Here is a 24,970-nt window from a genome sequence, read left to right as displayed (position 1 = left end):
CTGGGCCATGCCTGGAGTCCTGAGCCAGTGGGTGGAGGAACAGGCACCTGTCCAGCCTCATCTCTCCTTTTGCTCCCAATCCCCAGCCCCCAGCCCCAGAACTCCTTAGGATCTTCTTCTTGGTCCTTCCTCTTTGCTCAGTATTCAGTTCTGACACCACTCCCTTCTCCAAGAAGCTCTTCCTGATCCTCCAGGCTGGTCCTCACCCAGCCAGGTGGCCATGGAGTGGATCCACAGTGCCCAGACCCGCATGGCCAGAGCCAGGGGCAGGTCACTACCCCTCAACAGCCCTCTGCTTTTGTGCCTGTTTTGAGGAATGAGTAAACCCTCATGGAAGAAGAGGTCCCTGCTTGGGCCCAGCCCTGGAGGAGCTCATAGAGGGCCAGACAGGGTGCTTCTGCCACACGGTCCCAAAGCTGAGGCCGAGGCTGTCCCTCCCTCCAAATGTCCCCACCCACAACCTGTCTTCTTGGATTCAGACCACAGGACCAAGCTCGCGCCTGGTTCCCCAGGCCCCAGAAAGCCAAGGGAGCCCCCCAAGGCCACACAGTAAGCAGTGGAACCAGGCTGGGCCGGGCTGGCTGCCTGGACCCCCCTCACGCCCTGTGGGCCCCCCAGAGCTGGCCTAGGGTCTCTTGACCCTGACCTCAGTGGAGGAGCACCCAGCCTGACATTCTGAGAGCTGCACAGGTAGCACTTCCTTGGCACCAACAGCAGATTGCATGTGGGGTCAGCACAGGCCTGCTGACCGGGGCAGGGCCAGGCTCACAGCCACCTGGGTGCAGGAAAGGGTGCCAAGCTCGGCAGGAGTCCTGCCCTCCCAGCCTGTGCAGTGGCTGGGCTCGGTGGAGGGTCCCTCTCTCTCTGACCAGTTCGCTGTGCGTTTATTAGGCACCTGCTGTGTGCTGGTGAAACAGGAAAAGTCCCCTTGTTCCCCTCACAGTACATGCAATGGGGTTGTGGCTTGCTTCAGTGCCCTGCTGCTCAAATCTCTAGGGGAACATACAGACGGGCAGGCTGTGGAGCTCCAACCCCACGGCAGTGTCTAGGGGTGAATGTTTATAGCTGAAGCCCCAGTGAGCGTGTTACAGGGTGCTCTTTTAGTTTTGCTGTTTTAGTTTAACTCTATCGGTGGCTTCTGTTACTCAGCTCAATTAAACCCCAGTTAGAGCCCTGCCTTATCGCAAGGACAGATGGCTTTCTGCATCCCAAGGTTCTTGCCTTGGTGTAAGAATTGGACCACACGTGGGCTCGGAGAATGAGTGCAAGGTTTTATTGAGTGGAGGTAGCAGATGGGGGAAGGCAGAAGAAGATGGAGTGGGACGGTTTTCCCCTGGAGTCGGGCCCGGGCTCTCCTCTGGCTGCCCCAGCCAAACTCCAGGTCATTCTGCTGCCGGTTGGTAGCCTGCCGGGGTGCCGGCGCCCGTCAGTGCGTTCCTCTCGACGTCCAGCCGCCTGAGTGCTCCTCTGCCAATCCGCTCCTCTCCACGTCCAGCAGCTTGTGCGTGCCTGCCAGGGTCTCGCGAGTTTTTATAGTCATAGGATGGGGGTGTGGCAGGCCAGGGTGGTCTTGGGAAATGCAAAAATGCCTGTCCTCACCTAGGTCTGTGGGATGGAGCCCCAGCCAGGGATCACACCCTCCTCTACGCAGCACTTCCCCTTTTCCCTATCATTCATTTCAAGGGACCAAGCTCTTCCACTCCTGTATCACCTCAACGAACCCATGCGCCTCCTTCCTGGAGGTTGCTGTTGAAGCTGCAGGCATCACCCCCTGGGTGAGAGAGGGCCCTGCCTGGGCCTGGGCTGCTGCCAGGCCACGTGAATGCGGGGAGGCCATGTTTTGGAAGCCCGAGGGAGGATCCACACTTTGTCCCTGCACATGGCCCAGCCTCAGACGCTAGACAAAATGAGGGGCAGAGAATGGCCCCTTCTGCAGACGCAGTGCATCTGGCCCAGCCCACAACGAGCCTCTCCTGCAGGGGCAGCCTCCACGGGAAGGGCCAATTAAACCCACCACCGATCGGCCCAACCAACACCGGGGAACAGGAGGCCTCCAATTTGTCTTTACAAAGGGCTGTGCAGAGATTTATGGGCAATAAATGAACATCCATCCCGAGGCGGGCAGAGGAGAAGCGGCAGGGCCGGCAGGGTGGGGGCAGCCCCCTCTGATCGTGGCGCGGAAGCTGCATTAATGACGCTCACCAAGGAGAGACAAGGCTGAGGCTGGCAGGGCCACTCACCAAGGAAGGAGAAAAATAAATGCGAGCAATTGGGGAATGATGAAGACCTTGCAGGGAGAACACCTCGATACACACGGTGAGGCCAGCCTGGCAGAGTCTGGGGACGCCGAGCCAGGGACCTGGTGGGGTAGGGCAACCTACAGGAGGGGCACAGAGACAGCCTGGTGCTGCTGCACAATTATTTTTGAAAAATGACAGAGCAGAGAGAAAGAGTGGAGGCGGGGCGGGGGACTGCAGCCTCCAGGGATGCCAGGGGTTTCTGAGAGGCGGTCACTGCTACCTTCAGGGGGAGCAGGAGGGTCTTGAGGCCTTGGGAGCCAGGGCCCCAGCCTCTGAAGCCCTCCCTGAGGTCCCTTAGCCAACAGTGGTGGAGCCACAGCCCTACCCCTCTAGGCTCCCCCGCGGCCATTCCAGCCTCCAACCCCACCCCTCCACCTCAGACTGTAGGGTCTGAGCACCCGCCCTGTCCATATCCATCCCTGCATGCCTCTCCGTTCACCGACTCCTTCAACAGACCATCCCCTGCTCCTCTCAACAGGCCCCGCTCTGCTGGGGAACCACGGACAGAGGCCTTCCCATCCCCAGGTCAGGATCATCTGGGCCCCCTGCTGCAGCCGAGGACCCCTCCAGATCCGCAGAGGGACAAACTGGCCATGAGGCCACGACCAAGCCTCACTTGGGTGGGGACCCAGCCTGGGGCAGTCCTGCTGTTGCCCCCCACCCCCCGACATCCTGTCATGGTTGGGAAATCTGGTGGCACCAACTCCCCAGATCTCTCCTGGCCCCACCTCTGGGCCTGGTCGGGGGATCTGGAGGATGGCATCAGTCCTGCCTGCCTGCTGTGGGCCTGTGGGTAGCTGTGCCCAGGGGCATGGGGGAGTGAGACTGCACCCCAGGCTCACTCTCCACTTTCAGGTTACCCTAAACACCAAGGCTGTGCAGATTTTCCCACCCCAAGAGGCTCATTCTGTAAAAGCTGGTCTCAATTAACACAGCCAAACAGAAGCATCCAGCACTACACTCTGGAAATAGGACACCTATGCCAGGGTGAAGGGGTGACTGACACTGTCCCTGAGGCAGCCACAGGCCTCAGCAGGCACTGGGGAATTGGTGCAGACCCTGCCCAGAGCCCTCCCTTCCTCAAGGGATGGGACAGTGGGGCCCTCACCCACCGACTCCCCACATAAAAGACATTTCTAGGCACTTCTAGGCCAGCCAAGGGGGACACAGCAGTTCCCCAGAGGGGCAGGCGTGGCCTGCCGACAGTAGGGCTAGGGGTCAGCACTCCAGGTCCCCATGCCCATCAGTGCCCACCCAGCTCAGCAGGGATAGCAGCGTTCCTTGCCCAGCCACTCCCACAACACCACCCAGGTTGGGGGCAGGCTCCCTGTGCCTGGTGACAGCAGTGCCACCAGGCCTGCAGGTGGGGGTCACTGTGTCATCACTACAGATGAAGAGAGGGCGGCCAAGGAGTGGCACATGGACGCAGCCTGTCCATGGGGGTGCCCGCTGTGCACTCGGAGCAGCCTTCTGCCCAGGACGCCCTGGACAGGGCCCCGTCATGGTGCTGAGTCACAGATACCAGCAGAGGACTGGACAGAAGCGACTTGGGAGCCTGAGGATGGGGAACACAGCCTGCCATGTTTCCCGAGGTTTCCCGGGAGCAGTGAGAGGGCCAGGCCAGGCCCTAAGAACTAGGACCCTTATGCCCAGAACCAAGCAAGACGTGGGGGAAGTGGGATCCACTGTAAGTCCAGGGCCCCAGCTGACCCCAGTCCCTCCCTGGGCCCACCGGGGTGTCCCTGCAGAGACTGGCTGGGCCAGCAGCCTGAATCTCTCCTGGTGAAGGCCTGAAGGCCAGAGTAGGTGGGACCATCCTCGCCGAAGCCGGCCTCAATTCTCAAGGCCATGCCGTGGAGCCAGTGCCATCTGGACCCTCTGGGTCAAGCAAAGGGTGTGTGCTAATCAAAGGCAGGCCCTCGAGGATGCCAAAGGCCCGCGAATGCCCAGTGGACCGTGAAAACCTTCTGCTGACAAACCCTGCAGGTGTTGGGGCCACAGGGAGGGAGGGTGACTTTGCCTTTCGGCAGCCAAAGGATTTCACTGGAAGCCACTCTTTTGGCAAAAGCAGCCAAGTGATAACCAGGCCTTCACCTGTGTCTTAGGCTGAACCACAGTGGACCAGGAAACTGCAGGGAAGGCCACAGGGAGCCACCTTCCAGGGTCGGTGAAGGGCCCAGCCCCTCAGTCCCATCCTTCCACTGACCCGTGCCCACCTCCAGGGCAAGGGAGGAGCGAGGGCTGCCCTGGAGGCTGCCCGTTGGATGGAGCCTCAGTGACCTCGCCATCCACTGGGGGTGTTCCAGGAGGAGAGGTACAGGGTCCTACACCCAACGTTCTTCACCCAAGACCTGGCCTGAGACCAGGAACAGTGTCTGCCATCTTGAGTTCACAGGACCAGCCAGAGCCAGAGCTGGGCCACTAAGGACAGCCAGCTTAGCTGAGGGGCCGTACCTCCTAGGACGTCCTGGTGGCCGAGACTGGGCCACCTGCCATGCTGGCCATTGTCTGTCTCAGTTGGGGCATGTCTGTCTCCTGCGGCCCCTAGGGCTGGGCCCTGCTGTCCCACTGGGTATAAGGAAGGAACTGGGGCTGCCAAAGAAGGAAAAGCTGGGCAGACAGTGGGGGGCCTGGGAAGGCCAGCGCCTGCAGCCCTTCACCTTCCACCCTGCAAGCCACAGAATACCCAGGCAGAGCTGAGCAGGGCACCCTCCAGTCCAGGGGCTCTCCTCTCCTCAGAGAGAGGCTGAGACACACTTGCCCCACAGAGAGCTAGGCTGTGGCGTCTGAGGTCTTCTCCTGCCACGTGCATCACAGCTGCATACCCTGATAGCCACTCGGTTCCTGAGAATCCCTGAAAGGAGGGACTCGCTTCTCCCCACCCACTGGCTGGACAGGAAGGCAGGGATAGCCTGTGTGCAGAGGGAACAGCCTGTGCGGGGGCCCTGAGGATCACTCACCCGGAGCCTGGCCCTTTGGTGGGGGTGTGGGGCTGAGCCAGCAGGAGGCCAAGGGTGGGGTGGGAGTGACCCTGGACACCTGTGGAAAGACAGGGCCTCGGGGTCCACCCCACCTGGCTCTGGGCCCTGGGGCCCCTGGCCAGCACGGGTTGCCGCCTCATTGCAGTGCCTTCTCTGCTCCAGCTGCTCTCCAGCTCTCCATGCATCAAGGTGGAAACAGAGCAGGAGCGCAGTAATGCGGAATTTGACTTGCAAAGTCGGGGTGAAGCAGCACTAATAAGGCCGGGCTTACAAGGAGGCTGGGGGTGGGGCTGAATCCAGGCCCTGAGGGCAGGAGAATGACTGGGGTCTGGCGGGCGAGGGTGTAAGTGGAGGAGGGAGGGCTTAGGGGACCGTGGGTCTGTCATCCTGCCCCTGCCACGCTCAGGGCTGGGGAACTCCATGCCTGCCAATCCCAGAGCCTTAGGTAGGCAAAGCCAGGATGGGGGCACCAGCCCATGGTGTGTGGCACCCCCACCCTTCCCTAAGGCCTTGTGGGGAGGGGACTGGGCAGGAGGGGACTGGGCAGGAGGGGACTGTCCCCTCCCACACACGATGTGATCTCTCTCCCACAGCCCTCCTGCCCCAGCCGGACACCCTCTGCAGTGGCCAGAGTGCGAGAGGTCCTCAGCCCTGAGCCAAGTGGCTCACCCCTGCTCCTCTGCCCTTCCCCTCCCCAGCTGACCGGCCTCCAGCCTCCAAACCCTCCATGGGGACTCAGGGCCTGACGGGGTGGCCCAGTAGGGCCCGGGTGCTGAGCTGGGCTCTGAGATGGGTGGCCGAGATGACATGGAGGGAAAGGGTGCTGAGGGGTGGGGATGGTGCCTTCATGGACTCACTCTCCTGCCGATCCTCCAACCCCAAGCTCAGGCCTGGGGAAGCTGGGCCCAGGAGAGGCTGTTGATCCCAGGGCCAGGGAGGTCCACACTGTCTGGTCTCTTTTCACCAGGCTCTGCTGCCTCCTCCTGGGAACCACCCCCAAGACAGGGTTTAGACCGTGGGAGCCGCTCAGGCAGGGCAGTGGGTGGGGAGGTCTCCCTTTCCTACCTCACCTACCCGACTCAGGATTTCCAGACAGCTCTAACAGAGGGAGGGACCCAGGACCCTGGCACCCCCTCTAAACAGAGCAGGCCCTCAGGGTGGGGGCTGCAGCTCCTCACCCCGTACACTTGGACTAAAAGGAAAACAGCATGTCCCTGTGCCTGGGGTCTGTGAGTCAGGGGACCCTGGCCTGGCCTGGGGTGTCATGTGCAGTGTCCAGCTGGAGAGGTGCCCAGGCCCATGCCCCACCAGCGTTGTGTGCCCTCCACCCGCTCCCCACCCGTGTGCTGCTCCCTGAGACTCCGTGGTGGGTCCTGGCCGCTGGCAGTCACCTCTGGTGGGCTCTGATGCCCAGGCTAGTTCTGCAGGGCCAGGTCCTGTACCCAGACATGCCGGCTCAGAAGTCTGGTAGACTTGGCCCCATGCGGGCCCCTGGGGAGAAAGGCACCCTCCCCAGGCTCACAGCACCATCTCCGCAGTTCTGCACAGTCCAAGTGCTGGGCTGCTGTCGAAGGCCCTGTCATCACAGTGGGCTGGCTAGGTTCCGGGGCTCCCTCTGCACTCCCGCCCTGCCCCCACAAGCCCCTCCTAATTGGGCTTTCTCCCTGACAGAGCGCCATAGCCTCTCTTTTCTGTTCTGTTGACTTTGGCACAATCTTAGCTCACTGAAGCCTGGCAGGAGTGGAGAGGCCAGTGCAGCCGAAATAGCTCTCAGCCCCCGGAGCCCACAGCCGGAGCAGACAGTGTCCCCGAGGGTGGGGACCGCCTCCCCTGCTCGGGCCACCACTTGCTTCAGGACCCAGACAGCTCCCACGAGACTCAGGGAGCCCAGTGCCCAGCTCAGGGCCCGACAGCATGGAGCCAAGACAAAATGTGCCGGTGCCAGCCTGGGCAGCAAGACTCAGAGGGACCCAAGAGCCACCATCATCTCACCCGCCATGCAGCCACTGGCAGAGCTGGGGAGCCACGGGGGACTTGAGACTCAAGGGTGTTTTTCCCCCTGTGGACTACCTCCTCCACGGGATCTCTTGGTTCTTGTTAAAAATGCGAGTCCAGGCCCCTTTGCTAGAGGGCGGGTTGGCAAGGTTTTCTTTCCCCCATGTGTGTGTGTCCACATGGGGGAAGGTGTTGTCTTGGGCTGAGCCAGTGCCCTGGGTGACTCCTGTGATTGGGTCCATTTAGGACACAGACCCCAAAATGCTGCTCCTCAAATGGAGAGAATTCAGCAAGAACAACCAGGAATGACTGTTGTGATTTTGTTAACTGGGGAAACTACAGATAGGGGCCCAGATGGGAGCACAAGGCCGGCGGGGGACTGGGCAGGGCTGCTGGGCTGGCCACCTCCTGCGGGTGGCCCTGGGGGTCCCATCACCTCCCCATGCCTCAGTTGTCTCTTCTGTAACAGGGCGCAATGGTGAGAATCACAGCAATGCTAGCAAGGGCAAGAGCCCTGGAGCTGAGGGAAGCCCAGACCGCCCCAGTGGCACCCAGACCCACTCCTCCTCAGCCTAGCTGGCGGCTCATGGCATGAACTTGCTAAGAAACCGAGCTCCATGCACAGCGCAGCACCACAAGCTGGGCCGAGGAGAGGAGGGGGCAAGCCAGGAGCAACGCATGGACTCCCATGCACCCACACATGTGCACAGGACAGAGGAGGGTGATCTGAGCACAGCCCCCACCTGTCACCCAGCTGGTTATCTGTCAGGGTTGGGATGTCAGCAGACATTCTCTTTTGGGTTCATGTCTCTGTAGCCCCCTCCCCCAGCCTGTGTCCCCTGGCCTGGGGTCTTCGGTGTGCCAGCTGGATCCTTACCTAAGGCTCCTCACACATGGGCCCCCCTCGTTACCAGGCAGCCCATGCCAGCCAGACACATCGCCAGCCAACGACCCTCACTGGGGTATAGCTCCTGGGGCAGCACCGTGGGACTTGAGCTTCCATCATGGGCACTGAGCCGCCCCAGTGGGCTTCCCCTGACATGCCAGCCCAAGGAAGCCCCCTGGTGCCCACACTGGCATTTTCTGGCACCTCCAGGGGCTCGCTGGTGCTCACCTCACAGCCCTCCCATCTGCGGGGAGCCGGCCTGGCTGATCCCAAGCAGCAAATGGTGCTGTTGTCAGGAAGGCTGCCCCCAGGCTTGGCGGGGTCTGCAGTCTTGGCCCTCTCCCTGGGCAGCAGCTGACCTGGCTCTGGACCCCTGCACCCAGTGCAGCAACCGGGGATGTAGGGGAGAGTGGCCTGGAGGGTCTGTTCTGAGAAAGGCCCAGAAGCCAGAGATCCCATAGCCCAGCCCCACTTAGGACTCACCTGGGCTCTCGAGTGCTGTGTGCTGTGTTATTCGCCAGCCGCTCGGGATTACAATTCAAGGCTGCTGCTGAAACTCGGGCAGATCCCAGCTGCAAAGGGCAGTTCCTTCCTCGAGCTGCAGAACGTGTCTGGAGGGGTTGGCTCAGCCCGAGGTGAGCATTCACACTGAGGCTGAGTCCAGAGATGAGTAGGTGTGAGGGTGCAGGAAGGCCCCCAAGGGCCCCCAAAGGCCCCAGAGTCCCATGGGGGAGAGGCTGGAGACAAGGCCCTGGTCCAGCACTGGGCCCTGCAGGGCTGTTGGGAGACAGCGCCAGGGACAGCTGGGTTTTGCCTGAGTCCTGGCAGGGGCAACCGTGACGTGGTCGGGCAGTGGCCCAACAGTGGTCATTGGGAACATTCCCCGGGTGTCTCGGGGGGTGTCACAGAGACCAGATGTGCCCTGAGGCTCTTGTACCATCGCACAGGAGGACACCAGATCAGGTAAGGAGCTTCGGCCCAGCCTGGCTCGGCTTCTGCATCCTCCCCAGAGGGGATCCCCTGCCTGTGCCCCCAGCTTTTGCTTGGCTGCATGTTGGGCCTTGAGGCCGCAAGCATCCAGGGGCTCTGGGTCTCTTGCCCCAAAGTCCAGGCTCAGTGTCCTTCCAGAGAACCCTCCTCCCCAAGACCCCACAACGACTCAGGCCAGGACTGTGCGGTGCCTTGGCGGCCTGCGAGGGAACAACTGGCTTCTCACAGTACCAGGAGCTGGACCTGGGGGTCTCCACAGGGCACCTCTGACTGATGTCCCTGTCCCACCTAGATTGCTGTGGCCTTGAAGCGCCCCTCAGGAAGTCTTTGTGTGCCCCCATCCTAGATAGAATCAGCCCGTCTGTCCCTGCCCTGCCACAGGGGCCGTCTCTCCAGCCCCGGAACCTCCCCCAGGGATCCTGGACCTCTGAGGGTACAGGTTCCAGGGAGACAAGGAGCTGCCCTATCTGGCCACCCCCACCGACACAGGGTCCTGTGCCAGGCAGGTGGGAACCAGCAGGTGGCTTTGAACCTCAGCGCTGTCCCGAGGCAGCAGGTGCCCTGCCCCTGCACTGGCCTCCAGGCTTTGGCATGTGTGGGTTCCACCCTTGACAGCCCCTCCCTCTGCACTCAGAAACCAGCTCAGGGCTGCCAGGGGCTTGCAGGAGCCCAGAATGTGTGCAGCCCAGGCCTCAGTCCTCCGTCCAGGGCTATTGTCAAATCCAGCAAGTGTCTGTTGAGCGCCTACTGTACATGCATACAGTTGAGGGGGACTGTTGCTCGGCTCCGACATAGCACACTAGTCTGGTCTAGAGAGCCGAACCAGTTTAGGGGCATCGGGGCCCATCCCCCAGGGCATCGCCACACCCACTGGGCTTTGCCCTTGCCGGCTGCCCCCACCCTGCCCCCAGCTATGCACGCTCTCCAGGCCCTGGGCAGCCCTCCCTGCTGGCCTTCTCAGAAGGTCTCCCTGACCTTTCCACTGCACCTCACGCCTCCCACAGTGGTCCTCCCTCCTGACCCCCTCACATCACCGTACCATTTCGTATCAGCCTCAGGGGGCCACCCTTCCTTGCACTCTCCCAGGGCAGCACACAGGACGGCAGCCGAGGGGACGTGGAGTGGCCAGGAACATCATGGCCTGGCCCCCAGTGGTCTGCTCTGCCCATCCTGACCCGAAGCCTGGGATGACCCCTCCTCGCCGGAAGGCAAGGGAGGGCTGGATTGGCAGAATCCATCACCCAGGGGGCAGCTCCCACATGCTGACTGTAAACAGCTGTTAGCTTTTTGAAGAGCAAAATAAATTGTTTTAACAGCAGAGCAGTCACCCTTCTCTGCGCTGCAAGCTGAGGGCCTGGGAGTTCCTGCACCCTGCTGGCTGCCCCTCAGCCTGGGCCTGGCCCCAGACAGCTGCAGATGCCCATATGCCTGAGGCCCAGTCAGCCTGGGGACCTGGGACCAGCCTGTCCGGCATCCCTGGACTCAGATGCCTCCTCCAGGGAGTGATGGATCCGACCCAGGCCTGGCCTGGGGTCCCCAACACCCTCACAGGGCCCAACCAGACCTGGAGTGCTCCTACCCCCACTCCAACAAGAACACAGGGCGGCCCTGCACCTCCAACCTCCTTCTTCCCCATCTTCACGTCTCCACTCCCCATCTTCACGTCTCCACTCCCTGCACTGCTGCTGTGCTGGGGGACCTGGGGATGTGCACGGTTTGCAGGGGCCAAGGCACGTCCGGCCAGGCCCAGCCTCAGGGATCACATGGCAGAGTCCCGCACCCCACGGGCCGTGCTTGGGATGCTCCCTGCAGGTCCCAGGAACCACTGCAAGGTGGGGGCGGGCCCTCAGAGCCCTTTCCCAGAGCTGGGGGCTGGTAGCCACCCTTTGGCTTTGGAGAAGGTGAGCCAGGCCTGTCTACCAGTGACTAATTATTTCTGCAGCAGCCGCCTTGCCTGCCTGGTGTCCTCACCGCAGGCCCCACAGCTTGTTCTGAGTGTGCTTGTGTGTGTGCACGTGTGTCTGTGAGCATGCTGCCTCGTGTATGTGTGCTGCACATGCATGTGTAAATATGCTGTCCAGGTGTGCGTGTGTGTGCTGCCCACATGAGTGTGTGTGTGTGTGAGCATACTGCCTAGGTATGCACATATGTACACATGTGAATGTGCTGCCCATGTGTGCATGCATGTGTGTGAGTATACTTCCCATGTGCATAAATGTGTGCATGTGTGTGTATGTGTGGCCCACATGTGCATGTGTATCTGTGTGCTGTCCATGTGCACACATGTGCATGTGAGTGTGCTGCTCATGTATGCATGTGTGTATGAACGTGCTGCTCCTATGTGCGTGTGTGTGAGCATGCTGCCCATGTGTGCATATGTGTGAGCATGCTGCTCACGTGTGCGTGTGTGAGCATGCTGCTCACGTGTGCATGTGTGTGTCAGCGTGCTGCCCATGTGTTCATATGTGTGAGCATGCTGCTTGTGTGCATGTGTGTGCTGCCCATGTTGTGCATGTGTGTGTGTTGCTCTTGTGTGCTTGTGTGTGTGCTGCCTGTTTACATGTGTGAGCGTGCTGCTCATGTGTGCATATGTGTGCGCATGCTGCTCATATGCATGTGTGTGTGCTGCCCATGTTGTGCCTGTGTGCGTGTCTGTTGCTCATGTGTGCATGTGTGTGAGCTTGTTGCTCATAGTGTGTGAGCGTGCCGCTCATCTGTGCATGTATGAGCATGCTGTCCACGTGTGCATGTGTGTGATGTCCGTGTGTGATGTCCATGTGTGCATGTGTGTGTGTGCTGCCCATCTGTGCATGTGTGAGCATGCTGCCCATGTGTGCATGTGTGTGAGCGTGCTGCCCATGTGTACACGTGTGAGTGTGCTGTCCATGTGTGCATGTGTGTGCTGCCCATGTGTGCATGTGTGTGCTGCCCATGTGTGCATTGTGTGTGCTGCTTATGTGTACATGTGTGTGCTGCCCATGTTGTGTGTGTGAGCGTGTTGCTCGCGTGTGTGTGTGCTGCCCATGTGTGCAAGTGTGTGAGCGTGCTGCCCATGTGTGCATGTGTGAGCATGCTGCTTATGTGTACGTGTGTGCTGCCCATGTTCATGTGTGCATGTATCTGAGAGCATGCTGCCCATGTGTGCATGTGTGTGTGTGAGCATGCTGCCCATGTGTGCGTGTGTGAGAGCCTGCTGTCCATGTGTGCGTGTGTGTGTGCTGCCTATGTGTGCGTGTGTGTGTGAGCGTGCTGCCCATGTGTGCGTGTGTATGTGAGCGTGCCGTCCATATGCACGTGTGTGTGAGTGTGCTGCCCATGTGAGCATGTGTGTGTGTGAGAGATCATGCTGCCATATGGGCATTATGTCTATGTCTGTCTGCCTGCCGTGCCATGGTGTGTGCCCTCCTGGGCTCGCCTGTCCTTTCATCTCCATGATGCCCTCTGGTCCCTGGCTCTCCCCCTGTGCCCAGTTCCTTCCTCTCCCCCACCCAGGGTCCCCACTCCACTCCTCAGTCCACCCAGTGCCGATGGGGGAATCAGGGACCAGGATGTGTACCTCTCCAGGCCTGGCTGTGTGACTGGGAGCTGAAGAGCCCTCTCTAGGCCCACTGCAGTTGCACTGTCTCCCAAGTGAGGTCACTTGTGCACCTGACACAGGCTGAGCTCAGCAATTGTGTCCCTGTTGCTCCAGCCCTGGAAGGGGCCCTGAGGATAGGACCAGGGTCAGAGGCAGGCTCTAGGCTGGACAGCTGCCCACACCGCAGGGTGGGCCCAGCACCCATGCCAGACAAAGAGCCACCAAAGGGAGCCACGGAGTGACAGGTGAGAAGAAAACCCCCCAGCTCTGGAAGGTTTGGGTCCCCTCAGCCCCTGCCCCCACAAACAAAAAACCATCCCCGGGCCTGACCACCGCTCGGCTCCTGCGCCCGGCTGGCCCTGCGGCCTCGGTGAAGACAGGAAATCCATACCAGGCTGAGGGATGCTTCCAGCAAGGTCAGGCCCACCGGCGGGAGAGGCAAGTGGGGGCAGCGGGGCGTCGGTTCGGCGGCAGGCCCAACTGCCTCCCCTTACGCGGCTCCCAGGCTTAAATCAGGCCAAGGTGTCCAGGCTAGCTCCCATCAGGCCTTCTGAGTACACCAAGCTGGGCCATCGCAGAGCCAGGTCCCGCCAGGCTCTGTCCAGCTTTGCTGGGTCTCCAGCACACAAACCCTGAGCCTGGGGCCCAGCTGGAGCCCTGGCAGCCCGGGTCCTCACACATGGGCAGCAGGGATGCGGGTTCCACTCCACGTCCCAGGAGCCAGCACAGGGGCCAGGACGCGAGAGACCTTGCTAACCAGGACGGAGCCACCCAGCAGAGATGGAGCCTCACTCTCCTGCCGCCCCCTGCAGCCTCTTCCCCATCCCTGACCTGCCCCAGGGGCTGGCGGAGCTTCAAAGGCCCCTGCTGGGGTTCCACTTGACCACCTCAGGGCACAGCTCATCTCCTGCCCAGGAGCTGTCGCCCTGGATACCACCTGCACCCACAGCAGCTCAGAGAGGCTTCCTCTCAGCCTCCCAGACCCCCTGCTCAGGCAGGTGACTGATGGGATCAGCATCCCTTCTCCCCAGGAGACCAGGCAGCCAGCTCGGGGGCATTTATGGATAAATAAACGAATGAATGAACAAAAGAACAAATGCTCCAGGCCTCCCCACAGAGATAGGGCTGCCCCAGGTGACTGCAGGAGGAGGGGCTCCCGGGCCCTGAGGATGGGGAGCTCAGTCCACAGGGCCCTGGACCGAGCTTTGTTCACAGTTCCTATCAGTGCCCAGGATCAGTGACAGGACAGCGATGCCCAGTGTGGGCTCAGGTGCCCGAGGCCTGGCACAAATTTCCCTGCTGCACACAGCTGGGCAGGGTGTGCCATATAGTCTGCTGGAGAGGTGGAGGCAGAGGGAGTGGAGGCTCCTGCTGCTGTTTCCCAAGTTGCTCCCATCTGCCCCTGACTGCCTGGCAGGCCGGCCCTTTCTGGTGTGGCACCACCACATGGCTGGTTCTGGCTGCTGGGGCATGCATGGCACGCCTAGGTTCCGGCAAGGCCTGCAGCCTCCCTCTCTCCCTCTGTCTGGGATCCAGCAGCATCTGAGAGGGTGGCTGGGTCATCAAATGACTTAGAACAGGGCCTCACCCACCCACCCTGTGGGGGTTTGCCAGGCCCCTGGCCTGGGTGCCCAGACATGTAGCCACTGTCCTCTGGTGCTGGCCAGAGTGGCCTCTGTCCCCATTTCTTTCCTCCAAGAGGTGGCTCTGCTGCCCAGCCAGCCCCTCCTGCTGCTCCCTCCCTCCTCCAGGTCAGACCCCAAGCCATTCCCCAGGCTGACTAAGGAGGGGTGCAGACTGCCCCCTGTGCCTGCCTGGTGACCAGTGCCCACTGTGCACTCCCCCAGGCCAGCCGAGCCTGGCACACACTGGGTGCTCCCTAAATACCCATGGAGGATATCACAGCCACCCCCATTTTATTCAGGGGTCACCAGCTCCCTGCCCTTAAGGCCAGGCTTTCCCTGAGCCCGAGTCTTATTTGGAGGGAGGTGGGGGCCACGCCTGCAAAGCCATGTTTTCATTAGCAAGCGATGAATAATTAATGCCACAGCGCCTTTGAGAACTGTTTTGGTTTTTATTTTAAACATTTTTTTCTATGTATAGAAACAGCACTTCCGTTAGGCACCAAATTTATTTTTTAATAAACGTGGCAGTTATTTATTCAATCCCTGGTGCTCCCTGGAGTGGCTGGCACGAGGGCGAAGAGAACTTGCCAGGGCACCATTGGCAGCCTCCACCATGTGCCCGCCTAGCCCCCGCTGTGCATGGCCAAGGTGGAGGACACACGGCAGAGGGCAGAGGTCGGTAAGCAAGGCCCGGCCAGAGGCCAGAGCTGCAGTGCAGTTGCACAGTGGCCAAGCCCTGTGGCACACTGGGGCCCTGCCTGGGTCCTCAAGCTTCCCTGCCTGGGTCCTCAAGCTTCCCAGCCTGGAATGGGGTGATGGTGCAGGGGGCCCCAGGTCTGAACACGCTGCCCAGGTATTCTAGGCAGAGGCTGGGAGCTCCCCTCAGAGAGATGCCAGGAGGCACACAGAACCCGGCAGAGCCACTTGTCCCAGGAGGGCAGGCTGAGCCAGCCACGAAGTACAAGGCCAAGCTCCGCACCACCCACCAGGCCCACCTCTCTTTGTGCACAGAGCCTGGGACCAGAGCTGAGGCCCAGAGAATTCATGGGCTCCGTAATTCTCCAGGTCGAGAGGCAGTCAGTGTTGATTTCTTGGCTCTTCAAGTCCATCCACAAATCCCATTACTTGGTGCTTTCTCAGAAATTAAGTCGGAAACACTTTTAGTTTTAAATTACAAGTCGAGGAGAGTTTGCACAGCAGAAGACAAACAGTATGTTGACACTCTCCAAATGCACCTTCCCTGGCCAACTGCCACAGCACATGAGCCCTCTGACCCATCCACAGCCAGGGGCCAGGGAGTGGACATCCCAGCTCCATGGCCACCTGCCCACTGCCCGGCTGCGTCTGCCTGGCTTGGACACAATGCTAAACAAAAGAATTAGGATGTAGACATTTATTTTTGCAAAGAGTCATCATTAATTTTTTAAAGTGTGCAATATTGTTCTCAACAAAACACATGAAAAATGAGTTGTCTGTTCCTAATAAATATTTTCTAGATTAAGTATTTGTAATGCTATCAATTATTTATCTCCATATATGGAGTATGCATAATTTGTAATAAAATGTAGAAAGGGTTTTAATTTTTCCACACAATATATGAAATTGAGTTTTTGACTAATACAGGAATAAATTGACTCTAATCCCTTCCTGTCACAGCATAGGGTATTGTTTTAGGTATAAATCTCTTATTTTATAGATGTTTTCCAAAAATTAATCTACGATGTTTAAGGATCAGTGTAAATCTCCGTAACGGGGCGTTCTGGTGGGTTCACATTTATAAGGCGTGTCGTTTGCACATGACCCCCCTGAATCATCAGCTGCACACGCCAAATCACACCAGGGCTCCAAAAACACGTACACATGCTCATCATTCACAAAATCGATGCTGCTTTGGCTCTAATGAGCTGGTGTACGACCCACGGGCGGGCAGGAGGAGCCATGTCTAGCCCCACCCTGCAGGCTGTGGGTTCCGTGCGGCTCTGGATGGCTCCAGGCTCAGGGCTTGGCCACTGACAGGCAGAGGCACAGCCAGGCCCTGGTGCGGCTGAAGAACAGGTCTGGCCCTGGTTGCACAGCCCAGGGTCTTGGGGACGGAGGCAGAGCAGGGTCGTTGTGCCGAAACATGAGTAGGGCCTGGGCGAGCCAGCATGTGTCTAGCCAGGGCCATCGAGAGAATGGAAGGTAAGCAAGAGAGCTGAGGCCCAGCCAGCCCTTCCTGCTGTCCCTCCCTCCTCCAGGTCAGTACCCAACCCATTCCCCAGGCCCGACTGCGGAAGGGTGTGGACTGGCCCCCTGTGTCTCCTGGTGACCAGTGTCCACTGTGCACTCTCCCAGGCCAGCCGAACCTGGCACACACTGGGTGTTCCCTAAATAGCCATGGAGGGTATTGTGGCATGGAGAGCTGTCGATTCCAGAAACCTCCTGGACATAGGGCTGGGAGCTCATCTGCAGAAGCTGCCTGAATCCAGTAGCTATGTCCTGGACACTGGGGATAGGTGCCTGGTGGCGGGGGAGGGGGGGGGCTTTGTCTCAAGGGGATGTGACATCAGGTGGTGACCACCCCAGGCCTGGCTTGACCAAGCCAGGAAGGCTTCCTGGAGGAGGTGGTACAGTGTAGACCGGAGCACCCATTCATGCCACCAACTCACCATGTGACCCCAGTGAGTCTGCCCCTGCTTGGGGCCTCAATTTCTCCACCTGGAATAAAAGAACCCATGTTTGAGTCCCCATGAAGTTGTGGATCAATCACAGGGCTAGGCAGAGCACTTTCTTCTCAGAGCCAGCTCAACTGCAAAGTAGGACTGACAGCTCTTCAGGCGGCAGCGCCATTGGAATGGCTGAACCCTACTCCTCTCTCCTGGAGACAGACCCTGCTCCAGGCAGCAGGGGAAGGCTCTGACCCAGGCTGGGCCAATCACAATAGCGCATTCTCTTGGCCACAGTGATTGGACAGAGGGAGTGTCATGTGACCTGAGCCAGGCCAATCAGGTGCTTCCCTGGACTTTTTTAAGCCAAAGCAGGAAGTGGAGCGCCTTCCTCCCTGGAAGGGCTTTGGAAGTACAAGCCTGGCCATAATCCCTGTGGCCCCAAGGCCATCCTGGGAGCCCATGGGATGGTCCCCAGCCTCTGCCACTCCTGGGCTTAGGGGTCCTCAGTTGACCCCTTGTGCAGCCCACAGCACTGAGCAGGGCTCCAGTCCTGAAACACTTCCCTGGGCTGTGGGGGGCTTGCACCAGAGCCTGGGTGCTCTCAGGCCCATAAGAGGGCATGCTCATGGAACTAATGTGAATGTTCTAATACCTCAGCGTTACCTTTTTTATTGGGTGATGAGGTGGAGGAGGTGCGGATTCCTGGGGTTTGACTTAATCCAAATGCTGGCTGAGATGTCTCTTACACAGTCTGCAGTGCTGGGGAGCAGCAAGTATCATTTCATGGCAAATGCTTGATAATTGGAGAATCAGAGATTAAAGTGTGTTTTTGAAAACTGAGAAGCGAGCCCTCAGAATTAAAAGCAGGACATCCACTTTACCACCCACCGCCGCAGAACATAGAAAGCCAAAGCGCCACGCAGCAGAAAGGTATAAAACAGAGGGGTGAAATAGGCCAGTCACAAAAGGACAAATGCTGAATGATCCCACTTAGACACACTGTAGTCAAATCCATGGAGACAGAAAGTAGACAGTGGTTGCCAGGGGCGGGGAAGGGTGGGGATTTGTTATTTAATGGATACAGAGTTTCAGTTTGGGAAGATGAAAAAGTTCTGTGGATGGATGGGGGTGATGGCTGCACAACAATGTAAGTATGCCAAATGCCACTGAACTGCTCACTTAGAAATGATTCGAGTGGTCAGTTTTATATTATGGATATTTTACCATAATTAAAGAAAAAAAGAATATCCCCCCCCCCAAAATATTAGAAGTCTATATGCCACTAAATTTTTAAAAATATATAAAAATAGTTGTCTTTGTTTCACCCGAGGTTTACTATGCAGGATCACATACTGAGTGAACGTCTTGAATATACAATCTTTTAACTCAATAAATGGATCGTTTTAGTTAAAAGAAAAAAACAAAACATGAGGGGAAGAAAATGAGTATAAAATGGGACACATAAAACTGGATGACCAAAGCAAGACCGGGCATATGTCGTGCTGTGATGAAAAGGTTTCAAGTCGCCCTTCTAGAAGGAAGGTGCCCTGGGACAGGTCAAAGCAATGAAATGCTGCCTGCAGCTTCACCGGAGCCGGGAAGGAGCTCCAGGCAGAGCTCCCGGGGAGGGAGGCACGAGGACAAGCATTCACTTACAATGCTGAGTGGCCTCTCCACTGTGGAGCTTGCACTGGGCTCAGGGACAGGGCTGCTAATGGGAAAGATGGGACAGATGGGACATTCTCAGGAGGACAGAGATAGGAGGCAGGAAGCTAGAGCCACAGAGGAAAATGCTGATGTCAGAGAGGTCCTGATAGATGGCCCCGCCGGGAGGGGATGGCTTCTCTCCCAGGGCGAGCAGCCCCCAGACCCACCCGAGAGTCAGGGGCTGTGGACGTGGTGGGGGTGGACTACACCCCCCCTGCTGTCTGGGCACACCCAGGGGTCATGGGCAGCTGGGGGGCCCAAGGAGCCTGGGAGGAACAGCCCCCCCAGTGTTGCATGTCTGGTGGGAATGGGTTAACATATTTTTGGCCCACATTCTTTTACTTTTAAAGTTTCTCCAAACAAAAATTATAATGAAAAGATGAAAGAACCAGAAACCATGTGAAGGCAGGTGAGACAGCAGCCAGGAGAGACCGGGGTCCAGCTGGTGACAGGCAGTAAGGGTTGAGGGGGCATGGGGTTTCCCTGCAGATGGGGAGACTGGGCTGTCACACCTGCTGGGTGCACTACCATCCGCCCTGCTGTGGGCCTTCCCAGCAGGAGCAGTATTAACTATGCTTTTTTTTCTCTGTATTTCTGATGCTGTGACATCTTGGGGCCTAGTTACCTAGAGGGAGGTGGGGGGACAAGCAGAGAGGTCGGCTTGACCCAGGCCTGGAGTCACAGAGCAGCATCTGAGGGGCCATGTGGGTCCACTCCTGGAGCAGCACCAAGACCCAAGACCCAGAGCCTGACGCTGGCCTCACTGTGGTCATCAGTGCCTCGGGGGCTCTGCCCCTGGGCATTGGCTGAGCCCTGTCCTGCTCATCACAGCCAAGCCCACCCACAGATACTTGTGGCATCTGGTCCCTGGCCTCTGCCCCTCCTGGGCTTAGGGGGTCCTCAATTGGCCCCTCATGCAGCCTGCAGCACTGAGCAGGACGCCAGGCAGTTCCCTATAGGCTGACAAGCCTCCTCAAACGCTCCTGCAGCCTGGGCAGCAGGCACCCACTGCACTAGGAGGGAGACTTAGCATGCCCAGGGCACAAGATGGGATTCAAATCCCTGACTCAGATTCCAAATCCCATGCCCTGTGGGCTCCCTGCTTTCTTAGGAGACTCTCTGTTTGAATGCTGGAAGGGCCTGAGCCCCAGCGCACCACAGCACCTGACTCCCCTGGGCCCCATCCAGCCTTCCTGCCCCGCCCCACTGTGTATGTGCCCGGGAATGAGCATGTGCCCGGGAGTGAGTGGTACGCGCATACGTGTGCATCCATGTGCATGTGAGCATGTGTGTGCTCATGTGCATGTGCCCAAATGTATTAATGTCCAAACTATGGTGGCTGTCCCCAAAATGGGCATCCAAGAATTCTGCCCGTGTCCTCTCATGCCATTACATGATGGGGCTATGTTCTGAGAAATGCATTGTTTGGTGATTTCGTCATTGTGCAAACATCATAGAGTAACTTAAGCAAGCATAGATGGCAGAGCCCACTACACACCTGGGCTATTTGGTTTGGCCTTTTGCTCCTAGGCTACACACCTGTGCAGCGTGTTACTCTATTGGACACTGTAGGGGATCGTAACACAGTGGTATTGTGTATCTAAACATAGAAAAGGTATAGTAAAAATACAGTATTCTCATCTTATGGAACCACCGCTATATACACGGCCCATGGTTGACTGAAATGTCATTATGGTATATGACTGTATTTGGAATATCATGGGAACAATTTTTTTTTTTTTGAGACGGAGTCTTGCTCTATTGTCCAGGATGGAGTGCAGCGGCGCAATCTCCGCTCACTGCAACCTCCGCCTCCCAGGTTCAAGTGATTCTCTTGCCTAAGCTTCCTGAGTAGCTGGGATTACAGGCGCCTGCCATCACGCCCGGCTAATTTTTGTATTTTTAGTAGAGACGGGGTTTCACCATGTTGGTTAGGCTGGTCTCAAACACCTGACCTCAGACGATCCACCTGCCTCAGCCTCCCAAAGTGCTGGGATCACAGGCGTGAGCCACTGCGCCCGGCCAGGAACAAATTTTTTAGTGGGCACGGGCTGAGGCAGCCTGCTGGCACTGGGTAAGTCACCCATGCCTAGGCCAGGCTGCAGGAGGATAGGGGCCAGGCAAGGGCCCTGCCACGGCCATCTACAACCTCCAAGTCCAAGTTTGGGGCATGCAGGCAGAGGAAGCAGTTCCCAGAGGTATGGGTTCTGTCACTAGAGGGAGTGGCCTCCAGGGCTGCAAGCCTCCCCCAGGGCTGCAAGCTGATGGAGGAGCTCCCGGCCCAGAGGCCCAGACCCTGGCCTTCGAGGATGGCAGCCCTGTCCCCCAGTGAAGCAAGGTCTCAGGCCACCAGACCAGCTACTCATCTGCTGGGACGGTGACACAGGATGGGCAGAAGCCTAGAGGAGTGGAAAGGCATCATGTCCCACTTACTGCAGGAAACTGAGGCTCAGGGGTTGCAGGCTTAGGCCAAGGAGCAAGGACTTGCTGTGTCTGGCCTCAGTGGGGCCTGTGTGACCTCAAAGGGAACCCCTGAATTCTGAGAGCCCCCAGGGCAGGCGTTTTGGAAATGCTGCTCCCCCTAGCGTGGGGATGTGACTGAAGATGGATCTAAGGATGGGACATTGCATTGGGCCCTGGCAGGGCCCTTAGATGGACCACTCTCCTCCCCTCCCTCCCCCGCCGTGACCCCCCCATACAGTCACCCTGTGCAGGGGGAGCATGCCATCTTTGGCTTCACCTCCTTTCCTGCCTTTTCTCACCCACTTGTGGATGAAGAGTGAGGCCCACCCACATCACCTGGGTCCACCAAGTGGCAGGGTAGCTGCCAGCTAATGGGACCCTCGGTGACAGGAGGAGCATCTGCCCAGGCAGGGGAGGGTCATAAGAGATCAGGAGCTCTCGCAGGAGTTATCACAGGCAGAGACCACAACATTAGCAAAGGCCTGGAGGCTGGACCCAGTGCAGCACCAGGTTCTGGACCTGGAGCAGCCTCCTGAGCCTGAAGGGTCAGGTCGGGGCCCAGGGAGGAGCGGCTGCCAGAGAGAAACTGAGGCAGAGAGGGCAAAACAGCCTCGGGTCACACGGCTGCTCTGTGGAGGGGTGGGATTTGCACCCAGCTCCCCTGAGGCCTGGTTCCACAGCTGTCAGTGGACTCTCAGGGAGACCTAGACCCAGCACTGCACCCTCAGGCCCCAGCCCCGTGTAGTGCTTCTGCAACCACCTCACCTGTGTAAGATCTCAGGGATCCTGCTGGGGCCACCGCCACACTCCTCCTGTCTCAAGAATCAAAGATCGAGGCAATCCTGATTCCAGCTGATGGGATGCCACCTCAGGCCTCCAGCCTTGCGCCCAGGGCCTGGGCCCCACATGCCTCAGTTTACTCTCTCCTTCTTGTCTGGAGTCTGTGGACACGCCCTGGTGGCCAGCCTGCTGGGTAGGGTGGAGGCAGGTCCACCATCCACCTGCCTCATCAGGGGCCAGGACCCACCACCCGCCTTGCCCTTGAATCCCACCCTCCCACTTCCTATGGGCTGCCATGCTGGCAGTGACCTCCCCCAGGACTGCGATGCCCTCCAGCACTAATAATGTGATGCACCAGACAGCACCTATTCCCTGAAGACGCGGGGCCATGACTGTAGGTGAAATGGAATCCTTCCCCTGCCTCCTATGAGTTGTGCCCTTTTCTTTGAAAATTGCCTTGCGTGTGACTTGCCGCCCTTTCTGCCTTTCCTCCAAGTCTCGGGAGCAGGGCCGAGTCCACACTGGTTTACGAGACCTCGAGGAGCTGTTCTGTGCCCTGGGTAGCAAATGTTTCTTTCTAAGAAAATCTTTCTAACAGTCCTCGAGGCACTTCAATGCTTCAGCATCCTGGGAGACCAGCCCCAAGCAAGGTGGGGAAGTGACAGAGGACACCGTGCCCCTGTGCCCAATGCCACCCAAGTCTGCAGGTGACACAAATCCACAGCACAGAGTCAGAGCACGGGGGGTGACGGCAGAGCCGCCAGGCAGCTGTGCCCCATGCTGGCGTGGGGCTATGGGCAGTCACCTTGGTCGGTCCTCAGCAGCCCCGTGACAGGGACCTGCAGGCGGGAATCTGAGCGGTGGAAGGAGCAGTGTGGGGCTCAAACCCACCTGGGCTAAGAGAGGACACCCCGCCCCCATGGGAGGGTCCCACAGGCAAAGCTCCTGTTCCAGAACCACAGGCCCATCCCACCCAAAGTCGGGAGGTGCTCCAGGTCTCTGGGGAGGGGGTGCCAGGAGAACCAGGCAGAGGTTCGGATTCCGCCAGGGACCAGTGCCTGCCCCGAAGACCCCCCTCATGGTTCCTGCCTGCCCCAGGCTAGAGCTGGCTCCCTGAGTGACAGCAATTAGGACCACGGCTGGCAGAGCAGCCCACACCCCCAAAGCACCTGACGTGGCAGCAGCTCCCTGGGGGCCGTCGCGCTCCGGCTGTGGCTGAGGCGCTTGGAATCGGTTTCTTTCTGCTGTAAAAATGGAAACATCCCCTATGTGAGAAACAAGCTGGCGAGGAGAACGCTGCTGCCAAATCACACCCGCGGTGGGGCGCATGGCGGCCGGGGGCCCCCAGGCCTGCCAGGCAAGAAGGGCTTCGTGCACGGGGGTGGGGAGCCAGGAACCTGGGGGTGCAGGGGCGAGGTGCAGACCCCCCCAGCCAGACAACCCTGCTGGAACATAGGCTGGGCCCTCCCTGCCTTGAACCTCTCTTTTCCAAAAACAGCAACGGTACTGGCTGCATCCGGCTTCCCGCACCCGCCCAGAGATGCTGGAATAGCTGTGAGGGAGGTGGGCGAGCTGCACAGTGCAGGGGGGCTATCCGAGTTGGAAAAAGCAGCTCCCCTCACTTGGGGGAAAAACAGCAAGGTTGGGTGTGGGGTCTGTGGCAGTGTCTAGGCAGCAGAGAGGGTCCCCAAACACTGCATGTGCCAGGCCTCCCCAGGGGCCTTCAGAACTACACGTGCCAGCCAAGTGCATGCAGGACCTCTGCTGTGGGTCCCCCAGGCGCACCAGGCTGGCACGGCCCTGATCATCCCAGCTGGACACCGCAGCCACTGATGAGAGTCACCCTACTTTCCTGGCTGGGACCTTCCTCCCCAGCCCTCCCTGGGCACTGCTCAGCTGCAGGCTCTGCACTTTGGGTCTGAAATCCTCACGTAACTGTAAACCAGCCCGCCACACACCCACAGGCGTGAGGGCATGTGTCGAATGTGTGAAACGCCCCCGCCCACTGAGCTGTCCTCATCTTCAGATTTTCAAGGACACAGCACAGCACCCACATCCTGTGGCCAATGGTGGACTTTGGCGGGCGGAGGCCAGGATCCAGGATTGGCAAAGCAGGGGTGAGGGCTGGGGGTGCGGCACCACCTCCGCGTGCCTTTCCCCATGAGGCTGCAGGTTATCACGGGGCGAGAGGAGGGCCGGGCTCGCCAGGGCCAGGGATGGAAAGGGGTGTCCTCCAGCCCCGGAGCCCATGCCCAGCTCCCAGGCTGGTAATGACGGATCCATCAACCAGGCATGTCCAAAGACTGCACTCTGAGGGCCCCGGCCTCCTGGGCTGTCACCGCATATGAGGAGCCAGGGACTGCTGGCCTGAAAACTGCCTCAGGGCCTGGCCAGCCCTTCCAGCCCACTCTGCTATTAAAACGGATTCCTGGGGAGGCAAAGCCGTGTGGGTGTAAAACCTGGACTGCCAGTACACTCACACACACATTTCCACACTCAGCCAGGTGCACGTCCATGGCAGTCAGCACACGCTGACACACACACGTGTGCCCACACATACATGCTCATCAAACATGCACTCACACACTCATATGCACACATGCACATCCACATAACATGCACGTCCACACACACGTGCTCACTCACTTATGTATACACACTTGCATGCTCACCCACATGCCCACGCCCACACGTGTATGCTGACAGGCTTGTGCTCACACATCTTTCCACACTCACCTGCACACAATTCACACACCCGGCCACACAAGCACATTTGGTCCATTTTGTCTTTTGTTTCTCACTCAGGCCCTTTGCACATACCCCTAGCTGATGGTCGAAGGTGGTGTCCTGCCCATGGCTGCCAAATGCCCCTCTCACATGTTGGGTGGGGGTCGTGGGCCCTTCCTGCACACCAGCAACACAAAGTCTGCCCCACCACCCAGGGAAGCCTGGGGCCGGAAGCGTGCCAGGAGCAACTTCAGCAGGACGGGTGCTGGGCTGGCAGCCGGCCAGCACCTC

At 59.0% G+C, this 24,970-nt stretch overlaps 2 long non-coding RNA genes across 3 annotated transcripts, besides 4 other annotated features; both read right to left on the bottom strand.

Annotated features, from left to right (window-relative positions):
• Positions 1 to 1,251: 1,251 nt before the first annotated feature.
• On the bottom strand, positions 1,252 to 10,286 carry LOC105372863 (uncharacterized). Of its 2 annotated transcripts, XR_001755430.2 has the most exons (3): positions 10,192 to 10,286; positions 8,646 to 8,816; positions 1,252 to 5,339 (listed from the first exon to the last, which is right to left on the bottom strand). It is a non-coding gene; the product is annotated as an uncharacterized LOC105372863 (long non-coding RNA). The 2 variants fall into 2 exon arrangements; XR_007068009.1 differs by having other exon boundaries at positions 1,252 to 8,816.
• Positions 5,449 to 6,242: an enhancer, noted in NCBI's record as "H3K4me1 hESC enhancer chr22:20218512-20219305 (GRCh37/hg19 assembly coordinates)". NCBI's record gives its function as "activates a minimal SCP1, AML or CMV promoter by ChIP-STARR-seq in naive H9 embryonic stem cells {active_cell/tissue: H9 hESC(naive)}" and the evidence as "EXISTENCE:reporter gene assay evidence [ECO:0000049][PMID:30033119]".
• Positions 5,449 to 6,273: a biological region, named in NCBI's record as "H3K4me1 hESC enhancer GRCh37_chr22:20218512-20219305".
• Positions 6,118 to 6,273: a silencer, noted in NCBI's record as "fragment chr22:20218481-20218636 (GRCh37/hg19 assembly coordinates)". NCBI's record gives its function as "represses an EF-1alpha promoter that drives an FKBP-Casp9 reporter gene in an ReSE screen in HepG2 liver carcinoma cells {active_cell/tissue: HepG2}" and the evidence as "EXISTENCE:reporter gene assay evidence [ECO:0000049][PMID:32094911]".
• Positions 13,580 to 14,247: an enhancer, noted in NCBI's record as "H3K4me1 hESC enhancer chr22:20210507-20211174 (GRCh37/hg19 assembly coordinates)". NCBI's record gives its function as "activates a minimal SCP1, AML or CMV promoter by ChIP-STARR-seq in naive H9 embryonic stem cells {active_cell/tissue: H9 hESC(naive)}" and the evidence as "EXISTENCE:reporter gene assay evidence [ECO:0000049][PMID:30033119]".
• Positions 15,733 to 20,393, bottom strand: LOC124905083 (uncharacterized). Its single transcript, XR_007068008.1, has 2 exons — positions 17,666 to 20,393; positions 15,733 to 17,051 (listed from the first exon to the last, which is right to left on the bottom strand). It is a non-coding gene; the product is annotated as an uncharacterized LOC124905083 (long non-coding RNA).
• Between the last annotated feature and the right edge of the window lie 4,577 nt (positions 20,394 to 24,970).

The sequence above is a fragment of the Homo sapiens genome, chromosome 22, assembly GCF_000001405.40.
Source record: "Homo sapiens chromosome 22, GRCh38.p14 Primary Assembly".
Classification (NCBI taxonomy): Eukaryota; Metazoa; Chordata; class Mammalia; order Primates; family Hominidae; genus Homo; species Homo sapiens.
This window is presented reverse-complemented; position numbering and strand designations above follow the sequence as displayed.